Below are 23,956 nucleotides of genomic sequence, written 5' to 3'. Positions count from 1 at the left end.
GGGCACGCATCTGTAGTCCCAGCTACTCGGGAGGATGAGGTGGGAGGATGGCTTGAGCCTGGGAGATAAAGGCTGCAGTAAGACATCATCGTTCCACTGCATTCCAGCCTGGGTGGCAGAGCAAAAACTGGTCTCAAAAAAAAAAAAAAGAAAAAAAAAAAAAAGGACAAGTAGCAAATAGCAAACGTGCTTACATGTGAAGGAGTAAACATGGGTTGTAGGGCACTCCCCATGGCCTGCCCAGAGGAAGCTACTGAAGCCGCTGTCACCAATGGGCAAAGTGTTCCCTGACCCAGCTTCCCAGGGCCCCACACCCATAAGTGTGCTGAGTCTCCACACACGCACACAGACTGGCACAAGCTAGCAGGGCATTTCTGGAAGTGATCCAAGTCCTCCTTATCTGCTCACCACCCCATGTCCATTGACGAAATAAAATGTAAAAGTTCACAAAGCAAACAAATCGTCTCCCACTTACTGGCTGATGCTTGAAATGCTTCCTTTAGAGAACATTTTTATAGTTCATAAAGAAAAATCTTAGTTATGAGAGACAAATCAATGCTGTCAGATCACGCACAAATATACTCCTGGAAGGAGCCGGGGGAGATCAGGGCACCCCAGAGGGTGCTGCAGAAGAACAGGGGTGGGGGCAGGGGAGAGACAAATTGCATTGTGTTCAAAATTTGTTCTGGTGCCATCTGTACAGTATGGAGATGTCGCTCACTGACCCTTCACTCAAGACACTAGACAAATTTTGGTAAAGCATGAACATTTATATTTAATTTACATTTTGACAATTTGCACATAAATAACATTGTAAACCAGTATGTAAACATAAGATAGTTTGTTGTTCTAGCAAAGTAAAAAGCCAGTAACTTTGGTCAGTTTTAACTTTGAGTAGAGGAAAAAATAAAACCACTGTTGATTGTGGGCTCAACATTCACATGTAAGAGGCAGAAAAGAGAAGGATGGATGGTGAGAGAAGCAAGAAGTCTTTATAAAAATTCTCACTATGGGAAAGCACAAAAGGAGAAAAAGAACAAACGAGTAGTTGGGAATCAAAAGTATTTGGTCTAATGTCAACGTGATGCTTTGGTTTACCTTCAGTTAAGGACTGTGTTTATCAAACACTGATACATAAAAAGCTGTCAGTCTTGGAAGTTACAGAAGACCAGTAAGGCTCTTGGGTTTCCCTGGATTATTCGAAATTTGTTCTCTTCTACAGGTGAACATTAGTTGATGTGAACAAAATGTCAAATATAATTATAAAATAGATTGGAGTAATGTATCAGTATTTAGTAAGGAGGAAAACAGAAAAATTGCAGCGGTAAAGTCAGTTTTTTATTTCTGTGACTTGGGTGTGACCACATAATCATAAAGTGGCAAAAAAAAAATAGAGCTGTCTTAGATGGTCCTTAATACTAAAAAATGATGTATCTCTTCCTCCCTGGTTGTTTTGTGGTCCCCACCACTGCACCAAGGTTTTAGGGTCTCTTACAGTAGGCAAGGGTGCCCAATCATACCGACGTGATTGTGAGGTCACCAAGTATTAAGCAAAGTCTCAGAAAGGAGTGTTCTTTTTTTTTTTTTTTTTTTTTTGCCCTTAGAAAAAGTAGATCTTTTACATGGCTTGGCTCACAATTTAAGTGGTTATAAATATATATACATATGATATAGTGGTATAAATAGATTTATAAATATACATCATTTTTTGCTACACTTTGAACACCAACATGTAATCTTTGGGCTTAGCAGAATAAAAGATAGAATAACACAAAGTCTATCTTGCTGGAGCACATTTACTCGGTTTCTCCTCTAGAGAAGCAAATCATTAGATAAGACATCATTTCCTGCACTACTGGACACACTCAATGAGGTAACTGTTGTTGAACAACTTTGCAATGCCCTTTCATCTTCCATTAAATTAACCATAAAATGTAAAAACACAAATACTGAGGAAAATCTGAGTTTTACAGAAAAAATACAATTGATGTGTTGGGGATAGGAATGTTCATTACCCGCTTTTACCCCAAGATGACTAGAATACCCGTTTTTTGTTGTTTGTGTGTTTGTTTTTAAAGTGTGGCCTGAGCCTATCTACCTCGAATCCTTCCTGGTAGAGCACCATGTTTGTGCAATTTTGACATTAAAAAAAAAAAAAAAAAAAAAGCAACAAAAACCAACAACAAAACACCACCCAGACTCAAGCCCCCAAATCGCACACACACAAAGCCACCTATGCTTTGGGGAAATTTTCGCAGTGGTTTTAAAACATGGCATTTTTTTCTTCTTCACATTTTCTGATAATACAATGGATGCAAAAGTCATGTGGCCGCTCTGAATGGCCACAGGACTCGGTGGGGAGGGCAGGGCGGTGGGAGGATTCTGCTCTTTTGGAGGGAGAGACAGGTTGGTAAAGCCTTCCTGTCACCCTTCCGGTAAAATTGTGGCTGGGGGAAAAACATGAACTATCAACAAAAATATACAAGATTCCCTTTCTTGTTTCTTCTACTTAAGTTATTCTTGGGTAATCCTGCACACATACCCCCAAGTTATGTACAATGCTGTTCAAATGATAGGATCCCAGGAATGAACACATCAACTGTCCAACATTGGCAATTACCCAAACCTCATTTTCAAACCATTATTAGAGAGAGAGGTTGACTGAAGTCATATATTTGTTTAACTAAATCTTAGGTACTTATACAGATGTGCAGAAATTATCTACAAAGAATGGCCACAAGACAAAAATACATTTATACTCAAATTACAAGGAATCTTTCCAGTCATTGTAAACTTTTTTAATTATTGCTTTCTGAATGATAAATTGTATAATAAATTATGAAGGATTATCATTGAAAAAATAATTATGACTAGGTAATAGTCTTAGTAATGGGAAGGCTATGCAAACATGTCCACACAAATATTCAAAATACACAGGGGCAAATATATAGACACAGGTGTAAATAAGTATATATAATATGTATACAGATATATATATATATATATATATGGCCTTTGCCTTGTTCATGCCCTGAGATTTCAGTAACTTTGGAGTTCCTTCTTTAATTCCAGAGGTGAGGGGAAACCATTTGCTGTCGAGAGAGCTTTGCAGAGCTGGGATTATGTACAAGCCACTTCCTACAGGCACCCTGACTCACCAAGTCATAACTTAAGAAACAAAATAAGTGTTTTCTGAAAATCTTAAGGATCCATTGGTTCAACTGTTTCTTGTTTGACCTTTACAGGTACCAGAGGTAGTGGGTTGCTGGGAGGCAACTTCATGAGGGGTAGATCTGATGACTCATAAAGGCTGCACCCTGAGGAGAGGAGTCCATTCCCCATGTTTCTTTGCAAAGACACTTTCAGGCCAGTTTCTTCTTTCTCTTTTCTGACCACGGCCAGAATTTCCTTCTCCACTACAGAGATCACACTGATGTCATCCTCCACGTCCTCGAGCCGGTCAGCATTGTCACTGATGTCAAACTTCTCGATTTCTTCATTGATTCGGGTCAGATCTTCCAAGGGCAGCCCAGGCGCCGGGGCCGCAGCGCAGTTCCCTTTCAGGTGAACCTTGAGGCTACAGAGATGGATGTAGTTCTTGTGGCACTGGGAGCACTTGTGGGGCCGCTCCCGGGTGTGCAGACGCTTGTGCAGTTTCAGGTGCACAAACTGGGTGAACTTGGCAGGGCACACCTTGCATTGGTATGGTTTCTCTCCAGAATGGAGTCGCAGGTGGGTCTTGAGATTGCTGGTGCTGCTAAATCTCTTGTGGCAGACCTACAGTGTAGGGGAGAGAGACAGCAGGGAAGGGAGACAGGAAGGCCAGAAGATTAAGAGTTGCCAACGGGAGGGGCAGGCTTACCGGCCAACGCCCAGCAACCTAGGAGGTGAGAAGCCTCCTTGTGGCACCTCCAGTGTGGTATTAAGCAAACGGGGGGATGTGGGCACACAGCACACGAGGGGCTGTTTATTTCCCCTACCATTTTCCCACCCACTGGAAGCTGGCTGTGCCATCTCAAGTCATCAGCAGATACAAAGTACTGGGAAGGACCATAGTGCCATCAGTCCAGGATGGGACAACGCAGAATCTGGTGTTGGCTTTAACTACGGGCTATATAGGACATGGGAGGGTGACTCACAGACATTTTCTACAAAGGTCAGAAGGTCTACCCAGAAAATACTGCGCACCTGGCATTCATGTGGCTTTTCTCCCGTGTGTACCAGGTAGTGTTTCTGCAGGTGGGCGAGCTGAGTAAAGCCCTTGTTGCAAGTCTGACATTTGAAAGGCCGTTCTCCACTGTGCACTCTCAGGTGGACCTGGGAAGAAGCCACATGTGTTAGCTCTGCTCTCAAGCTGGCTCTGAGACCTAACATTTCTGCTCCAAGACTCAAGTGTTGATGCAAATATCTTAAGAAAAGCATCAAGACAGTCTTAAAAAGAAGAAATCTTCATGTTTTCAGAATGGTGTTTTTCTTAAAAGCACAAAAATCACAGGCTAGCAGGGAGTTTCACCTAATCTTCTAGTCCAAACCCCTAATTTTTTTATTATTCAGAAGAAAATCAGGAGAAGGGAAGTCACTTGTCCAAAGTCAAAGAGCTAGAAGTGGCAAAAGCCAGGCGGAATCCATACCCACTATCCCCAACCGGGGGCTCATACTACTGCAAATGCAATCGATACCCCATGGAAAGCAAGCTAAATACAAACACAAGCATGCACTCACAGCCCCTTGGACTGCTCTCTCTCAAGGCCTACCTTCAGATTGGAGAGCTGGCCGAAAGTCTTGGCGCAAACGTTGCATTCGTACTTGATCTTGCCGTTCTGCTTCTTCAGCGGGTAGGGAAGGGTCTTGTAGCCGGTCATGTTTCTTTTGTTTTTAATGAGATTCATGGCTTCGTCGCTGCTGGGGGCTGCCATCGCTGCTGAGGTAGCTTTGGGCTGCACCACATGTTCTGCCGTGGCGGCTGTTCCCGCCGTGGGAGACCCGCTTGTGGGGCTACAGGCCTTGTCCTTCATGCTGGCGGCGGCCCCGGTAAAGGAGAAGGCACTGTGGGGCGCCGGGACAAGCACCTCCCTGGGATGCTCCGGCTGGAGCAACCTCCGGGCTCCATCTGAGGGCAGCGAGCTCGGGAGAGAAGTGGGGTTGAGCATGGGGTGGGGCAGGCTGCCCCCACCGAGGAGATTGCTGTAGACAGGGCACAGCCTCGGGAAGAGGCCAAAGTTGTTGATGCCATTCATGCTGCTCACAGCGCTCAGGCCATTACAATTCATGCCGTAGGGGGGCAAGAGGAACTTGGGGTAGTGAGCGTTGTACGAGGGGATGAAAGCTGGCGGGAGGTGGGGCAGGGGTGCGTAGCCAGGGTAGGAGCCCAAACCTTCCGTGCCGTAGGACGCGTTCAAGTAAGCGTAGGAGTCCCGGTGCTCTTGAGAGCCGGGGCCCACAGGGGACACCGTATTCCCAGGGCTGCTGTGAGGGCTGGAGCTCTTGAGGCTTTGGTCGGGGCTGCTTCTTGCAGAGGGGCTTGGAGTGGTGGAGGATGGAATGGGGGAGCGAGTGATGTACGTGGGTCTCTCGATCCCGTAGGCCAGGGAAGCTTTCAAAAAGTCTTCTGGCAGAGGGGCCCGGATGGGGTAAACGACCCGAGGGTAGAAGGGCATTTCGGGGCTCCCACGTCTTCTAAAGTCATCGAGGTCCTTTTCTGATGTGAGGGGTGAAATGTTAGAACGGTAGAGGTCCTTTCCTTTGGAGGGGTTGGAGTCCAATTTTAGGATTTCTTTCACGCTGTACTCTCTCTTTGGGACATTCTTTGGGCAGAGTTCATTTTTCTCAGTGCTCGGTTGCTTTAGACTGCTCTGTGTTTGTGCTGAAATAAAGAAAAAGGGGCGATTACACAGAGGGCTAGAGAGAACTGAAGCAAAACTGCCAAAGTTGCTCCTCCTTCTTGAGAAAACCTGAGTAACAGCTGGCGACACAATCGCCACATATCTGGCTTCCAACGCACTCTCATTCTAGAAGGCTCTGGGCCACTCACTCAAAAGTGCAGTTCCGTTTCCTCCTCAGCAAAATGCGGACAATGGCAGCACAGACAGAACAAACAGCAGCCTTGGGTGATTCTGTTTTCATTAGTACAGACCTTATGATAGAAAATTGCTGTTTAGGCTGGAGTAAGATAGCCTAAGCTGGATGCAGTGGCTCTTGCCTGTAATCCCAGCACTTTGGGAGGCCGAGGTGGGCGGATCACCTGAGGTCGGAAGTTCGAGACCAGCCTGACCAACATGGAGAAACCCCATCTCTACTAAAAATACAAAATTAGCTGGGCGTGGTGGCGCACACCTGTAATCCCAGCTACTTGGGAGGCTGAGGCAGAAGAATCGCTTGAATCTGGGAGGTGGAGGTTGTGGTGAGCCGAGATTGTGCCATTGCACTCCAGACTGGGCAACAAGAGCAAAACTCTGTCTCAAAAAAGAAAAAAAAAAAAAAAACTTCCATTTTAATGGAGTGGAAAAATACTGGGGTGGGGACCCTGTCATAGGTTAATAAAAGTCTTTCTGATGTTCATGGTTTACCTAAAGGAAATCAGCATACCCTGAGAACTAAATGTGAAAGATTAAGACTCATTTCAAGTAATACACAGTCATCAATTTTCGCTTCTACTCTTGTTGAATACGAATTTGATAAAGCCCTGTTCAAACTGCCTATGCCAAGGAGCTTAGCGAAGTGAATACCACCTTCCTCGCGATGTGCAGACAGCCTAAGCACTTCACCAAGGCTCTGTCTGGTCTAGCCAGGATCCCAGCAGTGCTGGCCCCTGGAGTCACAAGGCGTGACAGTCACCTCTGCCAAACCACAATAGGTACTTCCTGAGCCAGTTCAATTACTTAGCGCACCCAAGAAAACAGAACAGGCTAAGAGGAAAGCACTTATTCCCAAAGACGGCACGTTATTACTTGGTAAAGATACTATTTAGGAACAGCAGCAATGAGGACAGTTCTAGACTATCCCTGCCACAGCCAGCCCTGTCTCCTCGCTACACAATAAATGATGCCTTCAGGAAAAAACACCCATCTGGGCAGGGAAAACTGAAAATTCCCTGCTCAGCCTTGCCTGGAAACCAAAAGTAAAACATACGATGTTTAGTTTGAGCTCTGATTATTGGAGGACAGTCACTCAAGCCAGGACACCTGCCCTAGGAACGCACTGAAGGCATTGGCTGTCAATGTGTGGAGATGCCTTCAGAGGCAGCAGGTTTGGGGGATCATGCTGAAGCCTTTGTGCAAATATCCTTCATCGTCTAAAAAATGTCTCTGCTTGAATTTAGTTGAGAAAGAACTCCACACTTGCTATCTGATAGGTCTAGAAATGAACTCTGTGAAACTCCAGAACTGAACCCTTTAAATGTATTCTCTAGGCTGACTGGCTTGAGGGATTCGATTCCAATTTGAGAGCCCCTTAGAGAATGTTATCTCCTGCCAGCGGTTATCAGTTCCTCCTGGGCGAGCCTGAAGCCCCAGAATAAACACAGAGAAGAACGCTATCAGGGAAGATGCTGACGGGGGGGCCGTGATGGAAAGCTTGCTGAGGGAGAGGGATTTCTGAAGCCACTAAAACAAAATAAATATCTCCTTATCAGGCCAATATCGGTCTTTCAGTGAGGCCCAGCAGGCAGGAAGTTCTAATTGTCACTTTTGTTTTTTAAAGCTAAAATGGTAAAGGATGAGAAAGACAACTAAGCTTGAAAACTGATAGGCAAGGCATCTCACAGCCACAGGAAGGAATTTTATGAAGGTGAAAAAGAATTATTTGGAAACATCTATATAGGGTCAAATTCATAATGATTTTTAAAAACGATGCCGCTCGAATAAAATGGAAATACAAAAAACTTTACCCTCATGACTTTGAGCCATTTTTACTCAAATTATGTATCTAAGTCTCATATTTTTTCCAGTGGCTTCCACACTCCCTTGGTTCTATAATTCAACAAATAATAATAGCATAAATGTGCAATAAGCATAAAGTTTCAGTCCATCTGTGGCACTGCCCCTCACATTTAGCCAGGGATTCTTCTTAAGTACCTTAATATAATTTGAATGTTGAACTGATATGAAACTTATGATTGGGCCAACAAAAAAGCCAGAATTTTAAACTTTCTATGCAAAACACTTAGCACAGTGCCTAGTATATAGTAAACTCACAATAAATGTTTGCTATCTCTAATGCCTTCAGAAAAATAGATTTGCATCTTATTCTAAAAGAACATCCAGAGTGACATGTTAGCCTCCCTAAGATGCTCTACAGGTGGAAATTAGGAAGTCCATATACAGTAAAGGTGCATTTTAAAAAATCATCCTTCAGCAGCTGAGTAATCAGTGGAGCTGGTGTCATTTCTGACTCTCCCACTCAGCAACAGCTTGAGTTAACATGAAAAAGAAAATCAAGATCTGTTTTTGTTCTGAAATCTTAAATGGCTGTAGGCGGACGGAGTCATTTCAAGAGTGAACTGCTTCTGAAGACTCCGAATGGCTTAATTATGCCGACTCACATTTTCGATCTATAATAAGAACCCCAAGACTATAAGAAAGAACCTAGAAGTTCTGCAGTAGGCAAAACAAAGTCTCTTTTCAACTGAAACTGAGAAAGCAGATTAACATTTAGAAGTCTATAATTTGGTCAACTGTTTTCTAGATGGGTTAGTTAGATAGATAGAAAAAAAATACCTCCCCCCCTGCCAAATTTGGGAGGGGTAGGGGTTTCAAACTTATTAGTTCTTTTATTCCTTTTCCTTTGTTTTTAGAAAAATGCCATTTTGTGATTTCTGGCTACTTACTTTTCTTTCCTTTGGTTTGTTTCAAATCCCTTCTTCTCCAAACTCTACCGCCTGAACCATCACTGCCATTTAAGCCCTCATGGAGATTCTTGCACCACCTCTATTGTGCTTTAAGCATGGAAACCCAACACAGTTCATTTGGAGACACAATCTACCTATTAGGCCTGATGAAATAGTGGAAATTTTCCTGATCACAGTCTCAATCATCAGCTGCCACGCCTAAGACAACCGGTTTCACAACTGGCAGCAGGAATCTTGTTTTAATGTGACTGGTTATTGTTAACTCTCATTCTTTACTATGAATATTGGACAATGAAATGTGCTTGAAAATGTTAAACCACCATTTAGAAAAAATTCTGCCAAAATAAAAGGGGACATACTGCATAAATAAAAAGGGATAAATAAAAGGTGTCATTTCACAGTATATATGACAGTTGCTTCTGAACACAAAGTAGAAGCACTTGAACCTTAAAATACTGTGCAAAACCTTTCTTTGAGGAATAAAAACGCCAGGCCTTTAAACCCTTCCCTTGATTGGCACAGGGTGCGGGAAGCATGCAAAAAAGTTTCTTGGTGGTTGGTGCAAAGTCACTGGGGTAGGTCACCTCAAATGAACTGTTTAAAGAAAAGCAAAAATCAAAAGACTTTCCTCTGAATCCATGAATGATTAAACTCAAGGAATGTAAGGAGACCCTTAAGTGGAAGTGGCTCACTATGTTAAGAAAGCCAGGAGGGAGCTGTGCGCTTCTTCTGAGACGCACAGCTGGAATACGAGTTCCACAAAAATGCCACTGTGCCTGTGCATTTGTCGTTTGTTACTAGGTCCTCAGCACTGGGCATGGCATACACAGATGCCACAACAGCCGAATGGTTCCTGGGAGGCTCAGCCCTAGGGATATGACAGAGTCTCCAGAGTCTCGGGGAGCGCTGAAGAGACATGAGGGAAAAGAACTGCCACCTTTTTGGTCAGGACCTAATTAGACCCATTAAGCTGGAACTGGGGAACTGAGAGCCAGTTCTTTTCCTGAAGCTCAAGGGTAACCTGTTGTGTAAGGACCCCAAACACACGACCTCCCCTACGGGGGAGGTCCTGATGCTTTTATAGCCCCAGATTTTCAGAAAAACTGCAAACACAATCTTGCAATCTTAAGGGAGATCAAGTAAAATGAAGTGTGGAATGAATACCAAATAACCATACAGTTGGATTATATATGACTAGGGTAAGTACTTGGCTTGTTCATTGGTCCTAAAATCAAAGTCAAAATTCCAATTTATGTTAACATTGATATTTATTCCAAATGTCTCAAAGGTGAAAATGAGAACTAAAACAAGTTAGCCTTCTGGTAAAGCAAATGGATATACTTATCAATAACTGGTAAACCTGGGTAAAGGGTAAGTGGAAATTCTTTGTCCTTTTCTTCAAATGTTTTCTTAAGTTTGAAATGATATCAAAACCAAAAGTTACAAAAACTTCAGCATTTAGTCTTAACTTCTAAACCAAAAGGAATAATTTTTAAAACTGCTAATAAGATTTAGTGGTCTAACCAAGAACACACAACCATAGTTACAGCAGAGGTTAGAATCTTATGGCAATTCTTAAATTGCTCAAAGAGATCACTTGAGAATGACCAAAATGATGCAGCCCTCTGCAGAGAGAGGTCATGACAGCAATTTTAATCAAATAAAAGAAGTAAAAGCACATAAACCTAAGGAATTGAGAATTTGTTAAGATAAAGTGATAGGTGGCTACTATAATACTGATCAAGAGATCAGATAGTTTTTTTACTGTAAGGAAGGAAGCTAAGATGTAAAATCTTTACGGTTATTCACTTAGAATAATATTGAAAAATTATGACAAAGTTTTTCTAGCAATGATCTTACAATGTTCCACATCAGATCCTAACTGTACACTCAAATGTACATCTATAAATATTTTGATGCAGTCTAAGCCCTGCCAAAGTACCACAGATGAGGGCTATACCTTGCATACGCAGCATGTCTGGACCAATCCCTGTAATTCTCCCAACTGCTTTTGGATAAATTAGAATTGGACATATATTTCTTCCTGTAACATCCTGAATTCAAAACTCAAGGTAGCTCCTCATATATATATATACTTTTAAATGATCAAGTTTCCTAATAGTTAATAGGGACTCAAAAAATGTTTTTCCTCTTCCTAGTCCCTAGCTTAAGCCACCTACTTCATCCAACACATGACAAAGCCGTATAATTAAACAACATGTTATTAGTTCAAAGGGGCAGAACCGACATTACTGGCATTTTTTATTTTTTTGTTCTGTAATCCACTTACTGAGATTCATCATTGTCAGCTCTCCGGGATAAGGGTAGTGAAGCCTTTCTGCAAAGTCCCGACAATACCACACAAGAAGTTCCTGGTTGGCAGGGATGGGCTTAATGGTGTAGAAGTAGATGTTCATCCCGTTCTGACACGCAGCCAGGTTTTGCTCCCGGGGAGAGTGTGCTGGATTCACATAGCGCATCCAGTTGCTTTTCTCTTCATTAAAGCCGTCAATGAAGTGGTGAAGCTCCCCTCTGGAATAGATCTGTCCAAAAGAGAAGACAGGCATGTAAAAGGAAGTCAGACCCAAAGCTCCCCAGCACCTCTCAGAATAAACACAGCCGGTACCGTGTGTGATTTCTGATCCCCTACTGCCTAGTTAGAAAAAGAATCCAATCAGTTTAGCCAGAATAGTCTTGAATCAGCAGAAATCAGGGCGGAAACAGGTAAGGCACACTTTTGTCAGTTACCTTTTCCATTTCAGTTTTATCGTCTTTTCATGTTCGGGAAAATAACAGAAAAATGAAACACAAATGTTCATTTAAGGAGCTGCCTCAAACCGATTAACCCACCACAGAGTACTACTTTTGCTACTGCAGTGAATGGCAAATGGGCGATGCTACTGACTTCAGTTCCGATTATGCTGACTTTTAGTGCTTTGAGTCACTGGGTAGAAGACCAAGCCGGCTGACGACGTCAAACTGAGTCTTAGCTTTTTCTATGGCCTCTGTACTCGCCGTTTCCTACACCCCCGCCCAAGGCTTCAACTATGCAAACATCCTCCACCCCCAACCCTCCAAGTCCTAAAGTAACACTTGTTCATATGAATACTTGGAACCTTGCCTTTTTGTGGAAACACTGGGTGGGGCAAAGGTGAACTTCACCTGCCATAACAAAGCGAACACTCGGGCAGCAGCCCGAATTTGACAGTCTATTACTGAGAAGTCACTTTTCCTCTTGATAAACATGTCCAGACTTGCACTTTCCTTTCAATGCAAAGGAGGGAAGGGAACCCCTTATCTGGGAGGAGGCTGGCTAAAACACCACACACAGAGCCATAGGCGTGTGTTTTTGGAAAAAGAACAGGAAGAAAGTATGTTGTTCCTTAAAGGCAACGCAGAATGAAGAATTTGAAGTTTGTCCTAGAGTAATACTACTTCTGGATAACAGATGCACTCAGGCTACTTGGCAAAGAGGCAGAGGAAGAAGAAAAATTAAAACGTACACTCTTACTGAAACTATAAACACACTCCTTATCCTTCCACACAAAGTTTTCTCTCTTCCCCTCTTTTTAGGAGGTACCACCTTTACTTTAGACTTTAAGAAATTTCCTTATACAATCAGTCAATACCTAGTGTGATCTGCGACTTGCAGTCTCCAAGCAGCAGTAAGGCACTGTTCGTAGCAGGAATTTTGTGCTCACCGGACAGCAGGTTATTGCTTTTCCTTACTCACGTACCGACTATGCTAGTCTACAGATAGTTTCTGTATTTCGCTCAAACGTTATCAGAAATAAAAAGGAACTCTGTCCCTTTAACACAGGCGGTAAACACCAGAATCACTTTCTTTTAAGAGTAACTTCCTGTAAATTGTGAAGGGGGAAATACATGTGGCTTCATCAAAGCAGCTTGTGAGAGCTTTTGCGGTGTGTTTTGTTAAGAGAAAATGGAACAAGGCTGGGTGAATTCTGCTATCAAGAGGGGTTTTCAAGTTTGTTTACTCTGATGTGCAAACTTCCAGGAACATGGGGTTCCATCGCTCTTGTACTCTTCGCTGGTGCGGAAACTGCTTTCTAAAGCTACGGGTATGTTGATTCCAGTTAGCCTTCCTCGGACTGCAATTTACTGTATCCTCATTTAAAAACAGCAATGTCGGTGCCATGAAGTCACTCACACAGAATAAAATAACGCATATGTAAAATGAACACCGTTTCCTACCACCTTCCTGCACTTCCATATATTATCTAGAAGATTAAAATGCGCTGATTCATAGTACAGTTACAAGAAATGTCACTGGTTTCTCAACTTGAACATCCCTTCTTTGGCAGTGTAATTTGCATGAAACTTTTTCTTTCCTCACAACAGATGTTCATATTCCTGCCAGCAAAAACGAGATGTTCTACAATATCCTTTGCATGTGAAAGACTGATTCAAATAAATCCTCCCAAGGAAAGCCTTTCAGTTACTTACAGTGAATCTTTAAATGAAACAGGGAACTGGACAGTGAGGGGGAGATTCTTAGGTACTTCTTGCCTTTTCTCAAAATAATCACACATTAATGAGACTTATGCTGGATTGTCTTAATTCAGACCTTTAACTCCAAGAACTATGCACCTTTGTGGCTCACTTCTGAGAAGACGTTATTGACAATAAAGGCAAAAATGCACTCATGGTTCCACCATTGTAAGTCAGGTGATTAATATATTTTAAGGAGGAATAATTATTAAATAAAAATTGTGAGCACATGATTCTTAGTGAATCTGTAACTACCCTCTTTTGCTTGGGAAATAGTAAGATAAATTTCTAAAAATGAAAAACTTCCTGGATTAAAAATATTGTTTCTTAGGAATAGCTTCTTGTCCGAACGATATAATCGTTCTAGGCAAAAATACCAGCTAAAGCAAGCATAACACAATTTTTGTTATCATGCAGCTGTTTCTTTTTAAAGAATTCAAATAATGTACATTTCATGTAAGTATGCACAAAAAAACGCTTACTAAATTCTTTATCTTCTGAGGAAACTAAATATCCCTGAGACATCTATGGGAAGAAGGAAAGCAATCTGACTTTTTTCTGTTCACTGCTAATCCAGTGTTTTATTCAAGGATTCCATCTAATTGGTTCACCTCTGGGGGCCTTTCTAACCCTAATATAGCAAAGGAAATTGTACTGGCTAGATCTTTTGGTTGGATGCTATAGGAAAGCTTATCATCTTGCATATGACTGTTAAGCATTTTCCTTATGCTATGAGATAATTAACCTATTGTCAAATGGAATCATTTTACCATGCACATGTATTTAAATAGGACTAGTTCTGTGGTCCTCCATTCCCCTCAACCCATCTTCCAGCTATCCTTCCTTAATGGCATTTACTTATAAGGTAATTCATTTGTCATTCCTGGCTGGGCGCGGTGGCTCTTGCCTGTAATTCCAGCACTTTGGGAGGCCAAGGTGGGCGGATCACGAGGTCCAGAGATCGAGACCATCATGGCCAACATAGTGGAACCCCGTCTCTACTAAAAATACAAAAATTAACTGGGCATGGTGGCGCGCACCTTAGTCCCAGCTACTCGGGAGGCTGAGGCAGGACAATTGCTTGAACCTGGGAGGCGGAGGTTGCAGTGAGCCGAGATCATGCCATTGCACTCCAGCCTGGTGACAGAGTGAGACTCCATCTCAAAAAAAAAAAAACCAAAAAGATAATTCATTTGTGATAACTCTTCCATTCAATTAAAGTTAAGTCAGCAAGAAATCAAAAAGGGGTGAAATCTAAGGCTTGGTAACTCATTACTACTTCCTTGCGGAGAAATGCAAATGAACCTATCCTTAAAGCAAGCAACAAACTGTTTCCTTTCATTACAAAGCTCTAATGAATTGCAAAAATCAAGATTCACATATAGCCCGTATCTCCATCACTAACCACCTACAGGCCAGACATTTCATCGGTTTCATCACATTTGTTCAGAATTCCCTGTGTCCATGGGGATGCTGGATACTTATGGGTGAGCCCCAGCATTTCTCAGCACAGGATGAGAAAGGTGAGCCACCCAGCTCTTTTAGCTCCATTTTTTCCTAACATTTAATGGGTCTGAAGAAATTTCCCTTACTTACCCTCCAAAAATATTTCCTGTTGGCGTTCTTAGGAACTGTGTCATTGGTGTAGATTTCACCTATTAGGGGTCCAAAACGTGTGCCCTTTGGTATGTATTCTTTACTCATCACTCCAATAACCTAAACAGGAAAAAACACAGGAAACAATTACTTTGACTATAAAATGTTAACCAATCTTTTCAATTAAATAAATTGGACTGTCAAGTAGTAATACAACTAACAATGATAAAATTTTGATAAGTAAACAGACATTAATGATGCCTACATAATTAACAAGCTTCACCATAGGGGGAGACCATCTTTTAAAGTCTGAGATCATAAGCAAATACTCAACCAAGCATTAAAACAGTCTAGGGGATTATTGTCTGGTAATACGGGATCTTTTATTTTTATCATTACTTTTTATGCTAGAACAGCGAATATAACCATTCTCTTTTAGAATGAGAATAAGACACTGCAGAATTAGATGGTCAAGATTAGACCATTTCAGCCTGTTCCTAGTTTCCTATTTCTCATTCTCCCTCAAACCATAAGCATAGTGTGCTTGAGGGGAATAAAATAGTTCTGACCTCAGAAACCAAAATAATGTTCTTTGGTTGTTCCATAACAGCCTAAGGAACCAGAAACCAAATGCATTATGTTTTTTTCATTCCAGATGAGGTTTGTGTGTGTGTGTGTGTTTTTTTTTTTTCATAGCTTGTACATTCTCTTTAATAAGAGATCTTTCAAGTAACTTTGTTCTTCTCTGGCCTTCTACTTTGTTCTTCTCGAGTCTTCTACTCAAGAGTGGTCAAAGGCCCTCGTGTGTGTGTGTGTGTGTGTGTGTGTTTTAAAGACAAGGTCTCCCACTATCACTCAGGCTGGAATGCAGTGGCTTGATCTTAGCTCATTGCAGCCTTGACCTCCTGGGATCAAGAGATCCTCCCACCTCAGCCTCCTGAGTAGCTGGGACTACAGGCATGCACCATCACGCCCAGCTAATTTTTGTTGTTATTGTTGAGAAGGGGTCTCACCATGTTGCCCAGCCTTGTCTCAAACTCCTGGACTCAAGCGATCCTCCCACCTCGGCCTCCCAAAGTGCTGAGATTACAGGCTGAGCCACCATGCCTGGCCAAAAGCCCTCCTTTGAAATTAAGTTTATACGGAGGAAAGCTGTAGGTTCTAAGATCTGAGGAAATGACCTCAGACTGGATGCATCACACATTTTAACTTTGTGGGGCCTTGCTAAAGAAACATGTTAACTATACCAGTTCCTCCTTAATAATAAATTTCTCTTTGAAGGGGTAAAAAAATCACCAACCGTGAATCAGGAAGCAATTCGTCACTATTCAATAGAACTCCTCTGTGAGTAGTCCTTTACAACAGTTTGCAGTTACAGTTTTGTTTTGGTTTTTATTCTCTCACTTTCCTAGTTTTATTTTCTTCTCATTCAAGATAGCCTACCTATCACTTTACTGAATTCTTTACTAAAATGGACCAAGGAGGAGGGAGTGGTAATAGATGATAATGTTTATTTTCCAGTTTTTATATTCCCAGTAGCTCCTGTACATTCATGTACCTGAAATGGTAGACTCAAATATGTGAATCGATCCATGCACAGATTGTTCACAGTGGAATCTACAATTTTGGTTACAATATACACCAGTTCCTCATTAAGTCTCATCAATAATTTAAACCTCTATTTAAATAGATATGGCACACCTACATGCCTGTGACAGACTAGCTTTTCTCATTTAAGTGTCTTATCAGCCAATGATTTTTTTTTCTAAAACAATTTAGTATTCAATATACAAATCAATGAAGCATACTCAGACTGGAAAGAGAAAAAAAGAAAATTTTCCTACACCTAACATAAGTTGAAACAAGAGTGTTATTTTTGGTCCTTTAAGAATTTCTGTCAGAGAGCTGAAAAAAGCAGATGTTCATTTCATCCTCCTCCTCTGCCTTCATTTACATCTATCTGCCCTTTTAATCACCGTTTGTCATTATTGGTATTTGTTGGCAGTAAAACTACTGGGGACAAGAGTATCTCAGAGCAGTCTTGAGATATAAATATATATATTTAAAGCTTTAGTAGACTTATTCAGAGGCTCATTGTTTTGGACATATTATTATTGAATCTAATTAATTTGGAAAATTAATGGAATTGAATTCTATGACATGCAAATCATTTAACATTCATATTTCAGTGATTATTCCATAATATTAGAATGACAAACAGGAAAAACAAATCATGCCATTTGTTGGTGAGCCAATAATTAGCAGTTGATATTTTCAACATATCTACTTTACAACAGTAATTTTAAGAAAGGCACTCAACTGGTTCATCAACTTTGTTTTAAATTATAGTCTCTTACAGATGGTGTCTTGGGAGTCAGAGCTTGATTACCAAAACGGAGCACTGCACTGAGGTCGTGGTTCTTCTTCCAAATTGCCATTCTTTTACAGAATGGGCCTCTAGGTTTTCAGTTATCCATCTTACACACATTTTCTTGTGCCCAAAAAGAAGTCAACTAGAAAGCATAAGCTACCCAATACCTATTTGAGCACAACTATAGACTCATCACTAGTAAGCTATAAAGCAGCACCGGAAGTAGCTCTTGCCATCTCTAACCTTACAAATTCAATTCAACAGGCAAGACAGGAGAACAATTAAAAAGAGAAGGCTCTGTGGTAGAAGAGAGGTCTATGATAATCCTCAAACCCCAGACAAATTAAAGAGCTTCAATATTAGCTTATCATTAGGAAAGGGACAGAGCGCCCTAATATTTTAAATTTCAATTACATACAGTGCTATAGGGCACATATAAACTCACACCTATAGATAAAGATACAAAATCATAAAATTTCAAAACTGGAAGGCACTTACAAACCACCTATATCCATTCTAAGTCTAGCGTTCTAATATACAGTAAACATCTTCATCTCAAATGCACGTCTGAGACACAGACGCCATAAAAGCTGAAACTCTAAGACTATGGTGCTTGTCCAGGTAACTTTGGAGGGGGAACAGGAACCAGGATTGTTTTTAAAGGGAAGTGAAAAAACCAAGTACTAAGTCTCCCTCTGGTCCTAGAAAGATCCAGAATGTGCATCTTAGACTACCCATCTCCCTGACCCATAGTTTGTAACAGTTTATCTTTGAACCAAGCAAATACTAAGGAGGAACTTGGTGTGTAGCTTAAACTTCACAGTGCTAAAAAGACAAAGAATGTGTTCACCTAACTCAAGAAGGAAACTTCACTGGAACTGACCAGGGTCCTAAAGAATTACTGCTGGGGACAGGCCGCTCTGTGCCTTCTATAAACTCAACAGCAAGAGGACACCCGGCTTCAATACCTCCTTGCTTCACCTGCTCCCACAGAAGCTCTTTATGTGCGGTGCAGACCCCTCCACCACTTGAGCAGATTTGTTTCTGTCTGTGGCCTCAGTTACAGAACACACCCCGCCGTCCACAGTTTCCACAGCTTCCGGACAAAACACAGGGCTTCTTTTCAATTTTACACAATGAAGGAGATTTGACAGCTTAGGATGGGTTGAGTTGGAGCGCTTAATGGAAGGCTGATAACAAGGACAATATAGGTTTGTTTTTTTTTTTTTTTTTCAAATTCCTTCTTTAGAGAGTATGCAAACAGACACACACAGCGTGGGTTTGAAGCAGAAACTATATCCAAGTCTAAATGTCATCTGATCATCCTCTCCCCAAATTACATTAAGATCATTTAAATTACTAGCTATCTGTTTTCCCTCCCCGAATCCCACTCTATAAGAATGACTCGTTAGATTATAATTCTGTTTTGACCATATGAATATTTGTCTTGAGAGAACTAGAACTCAGTAGTGACCAAGACCTTCAGCCTGCAATCACCTCATTTTTATTTTATTTTATTTATTTAGAAACAGGGTTTTGCTCTTGTTGCCTGGGCTGGAGTGCAATGGCATTTATTTACTTATTTATTTTGAAACAGAGTTTCACTCTCGTTGCCTGGGCTGGAGTGCAATGGCACGATCTCGGCTCACTCCACCTCCCAGGTTCAAGCGATTCTCCTACCTCAGCCTCTCAGGTAGCTGGGATTACAGGCGCCCACCACCACGCCCGGCTAATTTTTGTATTTTTAGTAGAGATGGGGTTTCACCATGTTGGCTAGGCTGGTCTTGAACTCCTGACCTCAGGTGATCTGCTGTCCTCAGCCTCCCAAAGTGCTGGGATTACAGGCGTGAGCCACCGCGCCCGGCAATCACCCCATTTTTAAAAGGAGTGAAGTGAACAAAGTTGTTTGGAGAAGGTTTCCTTCTTCATTATCTTTCTATTAAAGGAGACATGGTGATGCCTTGGTACATCATTTCTCAAATAAAAGGCAACATGAAGAGAGAATTGCATGTTATGGTGAGATACTTTTTACAGATGGCTTGAGTTAATAATGGATTTCGATCAGAATGGACACCAAAGGAGTCCTCACAATCTGTCTGATGTTTATCAGCCACGATACAGGGAGGTGAGACTCACAGAGCCACAGTGCCTCTTGAGTGCAAGCAGTCTCAACCGACGGCAGAAACTCTACAGGGTAACGCTTCTAAAATATAAATGCTTGAACTGATTTTTCTGTAGTCAAGTAGTCATAAGAGATTATTTCAGGAGGACAAGGGGAAAACCCCCATAAAAGAATAACCCATCAGTTTAAAACATTTTCAAAGTTTTGAATAGTAGGTCTATATTTGATTTCAGTTCTGGAAATAGGAAGTAAGAACAGTTTTTCATTAAAGGTGCAGAATGATTCTAAACCCAATCTAAAAATGAGGGTCAAGATCAGAAATATGATTTGTATGTTTTGTTTTAACCAAAAAAAAAAAAAAGGTGCTGACACATGGTACAAATTCATAATGAAAAATGGTCTTGTAAAAAAAAAATTCCCCGGTATGTCAGCACAATAGTACATATTGTAACATCTTTTGCTATTTAAACGAAAACATTTAAAGAAGGGCAAGATTAATAAGTCAGATAAAAAGTACATGTAGAAAGACTCTTCCTATTTCAATGGCTCATGGAACTTAAAGAACTAACTGAATAAAGATAATGTAAACATTTCATCAATCCTTAATGTTGCTGTCCCGGAACTAGTTTGCAGCTATCCTACCCTTAATGGCTCAACTCCACCATCCTCTTTCACCTTCTAAAGGAAGCTGTCCTTTCCCAAAGTTCAAAAACAAAGGAGAGAAACAGAAAAACAGGTACAAATTCCAGAGTAAGCTTAAGACAGTATTACATTCAAGTTTACTCCTTGCTTGACTTTATGATTAGGGTTTAAAGACATACTATCCTCTATTCAAGCGCTTCAGTTAAATGCAAGATAGGGAAATAGGATAAGAGAACCCTCACCTCTTAGGTTAGTTTCGAAGGACCTTCTTCAGGAACACAGGCATTGTCTGTTTTTTGGTTGCTTAATATATTGAAATAGGAAGTTATACATTCAGAGGGAAAAAAACACAAAATAGCTTAAGGATTGGTCTGAAATATATTAAGATGATAACTAAAACCACAGTGACACCAAGAGGGGCCAGTGTAGCATAATCGAGAAGCACTCATTGGAGAAGTCAGAAAAGCTTTGCTTCAAGTCCCCGGTCTGGCTTTACCTATATGCCTTTGGGTAAGTGACTGTCTTTCTGAACCTTGAACTAAATGATCTAAGAGCATTACTTGACTTAGCTATGATTTTAAAGGAGAATGACGGAAATTGAAAAACTTAAGCTAAGAGCTGAACTGACGATAAGAACATTATAGAATTAAAAGGCAAAGATGACCCACAGAATGGAGATTTTTACTTCAGTCCCAAAGGACTGGACAGGGCAACACAGCACAAACGAAGCTTGGGAACAGACGAATATTTGGTCAAACTTGATATGGGGAAAAAACACACTACACTTTTTAAAGCCATAGTCAAACCTCATATACCCAAACAAATCCTACATTCATTCCAAGGGCCACATATTGAGAGACTTTCTATAAGAAGAGCATTACTTTCAGGAAGAGGTATAATTAAGGCTGACCTCTGGGGTTAAATTTTTTGGTAACATTCAACTACAACTAGAATTTAAATTTTATTTTTTATAAAATCTGCCTCCATTCACGCAGCAGTGGGGGAAAAAAGAAAGACTGAGCATCGTTGTTCTATTTAATTTTAGACAGCTGTGTCTCCCCCTCACCAAAAACACTGGACTCAGACACACAAACAGGAAAGAGACAAAGCATTTCCTAGTCTCCCGGATTCCTTCAAATACTGTTCCTTAGGGAAGGGGGAAAGTGATTTGACACGGCTGTAAGGAATAGTCCCAGTAGCAAATTCTGGATTTCTACGGCCAACCATCCCCTTTCCCTACTTTCTGAAGGAAGTAATAGAATTGACAGTGCTCTGTGCTAATGGTGGTATGGGAAGTCTGCTGAGGGGTCCTTTCATTCAACTCAACCCAGTAGTAGACTAGTAAGTGCAACTACAGTAAGCCAAATTCTGAAAACAAGAGGTGGTTCTGCAAGTTATTTCACAGCTAAACATCACGCCTAGCTATAATCTTTATATTAAAGGTAAACACAAATCAGTTGCTCATTCCAAGTTTGGGTTTTCATCCCCTTTGAAACAACAAAGAGTGTACCCACTTCAGAGGCCAGTAAGGAATTGGCCTGCCAGCCCAGCCCCAGCAAAGGAGCTGCTGCAGATAAACAGTGGTTAGCTCTGAAGTCATCCAGACAGAGGACACTTTTACATGACCCCCTTTCTCGGCTTATACCATCACTTCACTTCATAAACACGTCAAAGTTTTGAGGATAGTTTTAGAAACCCAGCTAATAAAGCTGGCTTGTTAAAAAGAGTAAAGCCAACTAATTACCAAAGACAGACAAAAGAAATATTAAAACTTTTTTTTCCAAGAAAAAGTTTTCTCCCTTAAGAGATATTGTACAACAGGGACACTAGGGCCAGTGGGCCCAGAGCTTTCTTGAAGTTCACTGACAATTTCACCCACCCTATGCTGCAAGTTGCTTTTCTAAGACATGCCAATTTGCCAAAATATTTAACTGTTTACTAATTAGTGAGGAACAGTTGAAGGCTGGAAGAAATGAGAAGGAAATGGTTTAGGGAAAGAGAAAGCAATGCAAGAATTGAATAGAGCAATCAATTATTTACTGATACTTACAGATTCTCAGAGGTTTTCAGAGATATACAAGGCCTCAAGGGCAAGTAGGGAGATTTGGCACCAGGTCCCCAATCTTCTTGTCAATAAACCAGAGGCTTACCTCTTCACTGTTGGTGGCATACTTGAAAAGCAGATTCCTTGGTAAGGATGCCTCCGCCTGAACCGAAGTACCGCCATCAGCACCAGAATCCCAGGGGTGGTCGTTCACAATGTATGTACACTTCTCTTCAAACTCAGCCTCTGTCCACAGAGTCATATCCGCATCCTCCATGTCCATTTTCATGGTCCCCTTGGTCCCCTCTGCCAATCCCTGAAACCTCACAGTGCTGGAGTTACACTTGGGGGCAGCCTGGAAGAGAAAGGAAAGGCCTTTAATCCCCATTGTCCCGCCGTTCCTGTGGCTCCTTCTGAGAGGCTATGACTAATACAGTAGTCTGAAGACTTTAAAAGCAGATGCAGAGTGCTTGGTACAGTTGAGAAAGAGCCAAGAAGCCGTATAAAGTAAACTGCCTTGAAAAGAAGCAAGGTTTTTAAATGCTACTCTTAGTTAAAAAAAAAAAAAAAAAAAAGAATGTGGCAACCTCACTGTGGGGAAAAGGAAAAAAAAAAAAAGAATCACCTCTGAACAATCCCTGGCTTTACCTCTCATGGCAGAAAAATGTTCTGGGCACACAGTCCAGTGTCCCAGAATGCCTGGGGTCATGGCCGCCAGACCCTCGGCACTGTGGAAAAGCTGCCTCAGAAAAGTGTCACAAACAAGGAGAGGAAGAGGAAGGAGCTCTGTCTGCCTCTGAATGAAGCTAAAAATGGAAAGCGCGTGTGGTGCAGGAGCGGAACCCAGCCTGCCTTTTCCAAATGGGGAAGACCGAACTTTCCCACCAGCTCCCAACGCAAAACAACTTTCAAAACAACTGCCTCCTCCCTCTGCTGCGAGCTCTCTTTCATCCTCTCACATGGAAGACTGAAAAGGGTTGCATCCTGCCAGCATCACTGAGCTACGGCCTCTTAGAAATCACTTGGACCACAGGAAAAGAGGAGGAAAAATGGGTGAAGGGGAAAACAGCCTGCAGTGTCTTCTGACTTGCAAGCATCTCATACCAAATTGAAAAGGCAAAAACAAAACATAAAACCGTTTAATAAAATTCCCTGGAGAGAATTCCTTTAGGAGTCCTCAGCTACAAATAGCACTTTCCATTTAAATCTGAAAGTGTATGAATTCCCAGAAGTCACTGATGTACTACAGTTTACTGTAACTAAAGTTATAACAAATTTAGAAGACTTGGAGGACAAGCTCTGCTTCCACTTGTACATTGATGAGGATATTCCCCCAAAATCCTCCCTCACACTCAGAAAAAAACTGTTTTCCAAAGGCAAAAAAAGGTAAACAACTTCTGTAAGGGTTTTCTCATATAGACATGTTTGATAAAAATGAGGAATATGGGTATCATTTCCATGTAAGAATGTGTGTTTGTTCAAATGTAAACATAACATTCTGTGGAAGTCCTTCAAGGAGGTTTTTACATTCTTCCACTTCTCTAAATAGGATGCTCTTAAAAAAAAAAAAGTTGGATGCAAAGTTGTTTTTCCCTCAGTTATGATTTAAGCAAACCTGCTTATTTTTATTTAGTTCCAACATGTAGAGTCATGACGCCAAACACATGTTAAAAATAAAATAAAATAGAAAACTTCAGCCAACCCGGAATAGTTTGACGAGTGTGAGCTGGAACCACTACTGAAATTTCAATGAATTGGCAATTATGTCTAGAACTGAAAGGGTTAATGATTCATAAGGAAAGTCTCACAAATGTTTGACAGCAC

General features: G+C 41.3%; 1 protein-coding gene across 9 annotated transcripts in view, besides 3 other annotated features; it reads right to left on the bottom strand.

Moving 5' to 3' along the window:
• The window catches only part of PRDM1 (PR/SET domain 1), a 117,249-nt gene continuing 94,042 nt past the window's right edge, over nucleotides 750-23,956 (bottom strand). For 3 of the 9 annotated variants that reach the window (XM_047419246.1, XM_017011187.2, NM_001198.4), the window contains 6 exons: nucleotides 22,239-22,487; nucleotides 14,954-15,073; nucleotides 11,136-11,388; nucleotides 4,755-5,863; nucleotides 4,189-4,317; nucleotides 750-3,777 (listed from right to left, as the gene is read on the bottom strand). In XM_047419246.1, the coding sequence (XP_047275202.1) occupies nucleotides 3,202-3,777; nucleotides 4,189-4,317; nucleotides 4,755-5,863; nucleotides 11,136-11,388; nucleotides 14,954-15,073; nucleotides 22,239-22,421 (2,370 nt within the window). In that variant the 5' untranslated portion in view covers nucleotides 22,422-22,487 and the 3' untranslated portion in view covers nucleotides 750-3,201. Of the gene's footprint in view, nucleotides 3,778-4,188; nucleotides 4,318-4,754; nucleotides 5,864-11,135; nucleotides 11,389-11,593; nucleotides 11,748-12,474; nucleotides 12,600-14,953; nucleotides 15,074-22,238; nucleotides 22,488-22,757; nucleotides 22,935-23,956 lie in introns of those variants that run through there. The other 6 variants (XM_011536062.4, XM_006715550.4, XM_047419247.1 and 3 more) reach the window with 6 other exon arrangements.
• Nucleotides 4,486-5,199: an enhancer, noted in NCBI's record as "H3K4me1 hESC enhancer chr6:106553364-106554077 (GRCh37/hg19 assembly coordinates)". NCBI's record gives its function as "activates a minimal SCP1, AML or CMV promoter by ChIP-STARR-seq in primed H9 embryonic stem cells {active_cell/tissue: H9 hESC(primed)}" and the evidence as "EXISTENCE:reporter gene assay evidence [ECO:0000049][PMID:30033119]".
• Nucleotides 5,200-5,914: an enhancer, noted in NCBI's record as "H3K4me1 hESC enhancer chr6:106552649-106553363 (GRCh37/hg19 assembly coordinates)". NCBI's record gives its function as "activates a minimal SCP1, AML or CMV promoter by ChIP-STARR-seq in primed H9 embryonic stem cells {active_cell/tissue: H9 hESC(primed)}" and the evidence as "EXISTENCE:reporter gene assay evidence [ECO:0000049][PMID:30033119]".
• Nucleotides 11,321-12,520: an enhancer, noted in NCBI's record as "MED14-independent group 3 enhancer chr6:106546043-106547242 (GRCh37/hg19 assembly coordinates)". NCBI's record gives its function as "activates an origin of replication core promoter dependent on BRD2, BRD4, P300/CBP and CDK7 cofactors, and independent of MED14, by STARR-seq in HCT116 cells {active_cell/tissue: HCT116}" and the evidence as "EXISTENCE:reporter gene assay evidence [ECO:0000049][PMID:35650434]".

This window comes from Homo sapiens, chromosome 6 (assembly GCF_000001405.40).
Source record: "Homo sapiens chromosome 6, GRCh38.p14 Primary Assembly".
NCBI lineage: Eukaryota > Metazoa > Chordata > Mammalia > Primates > Hominidae > Homo > Homo sapiens.
This window is presented reverse-complemented; position numbering and strand designations above follow the sequence as displayed.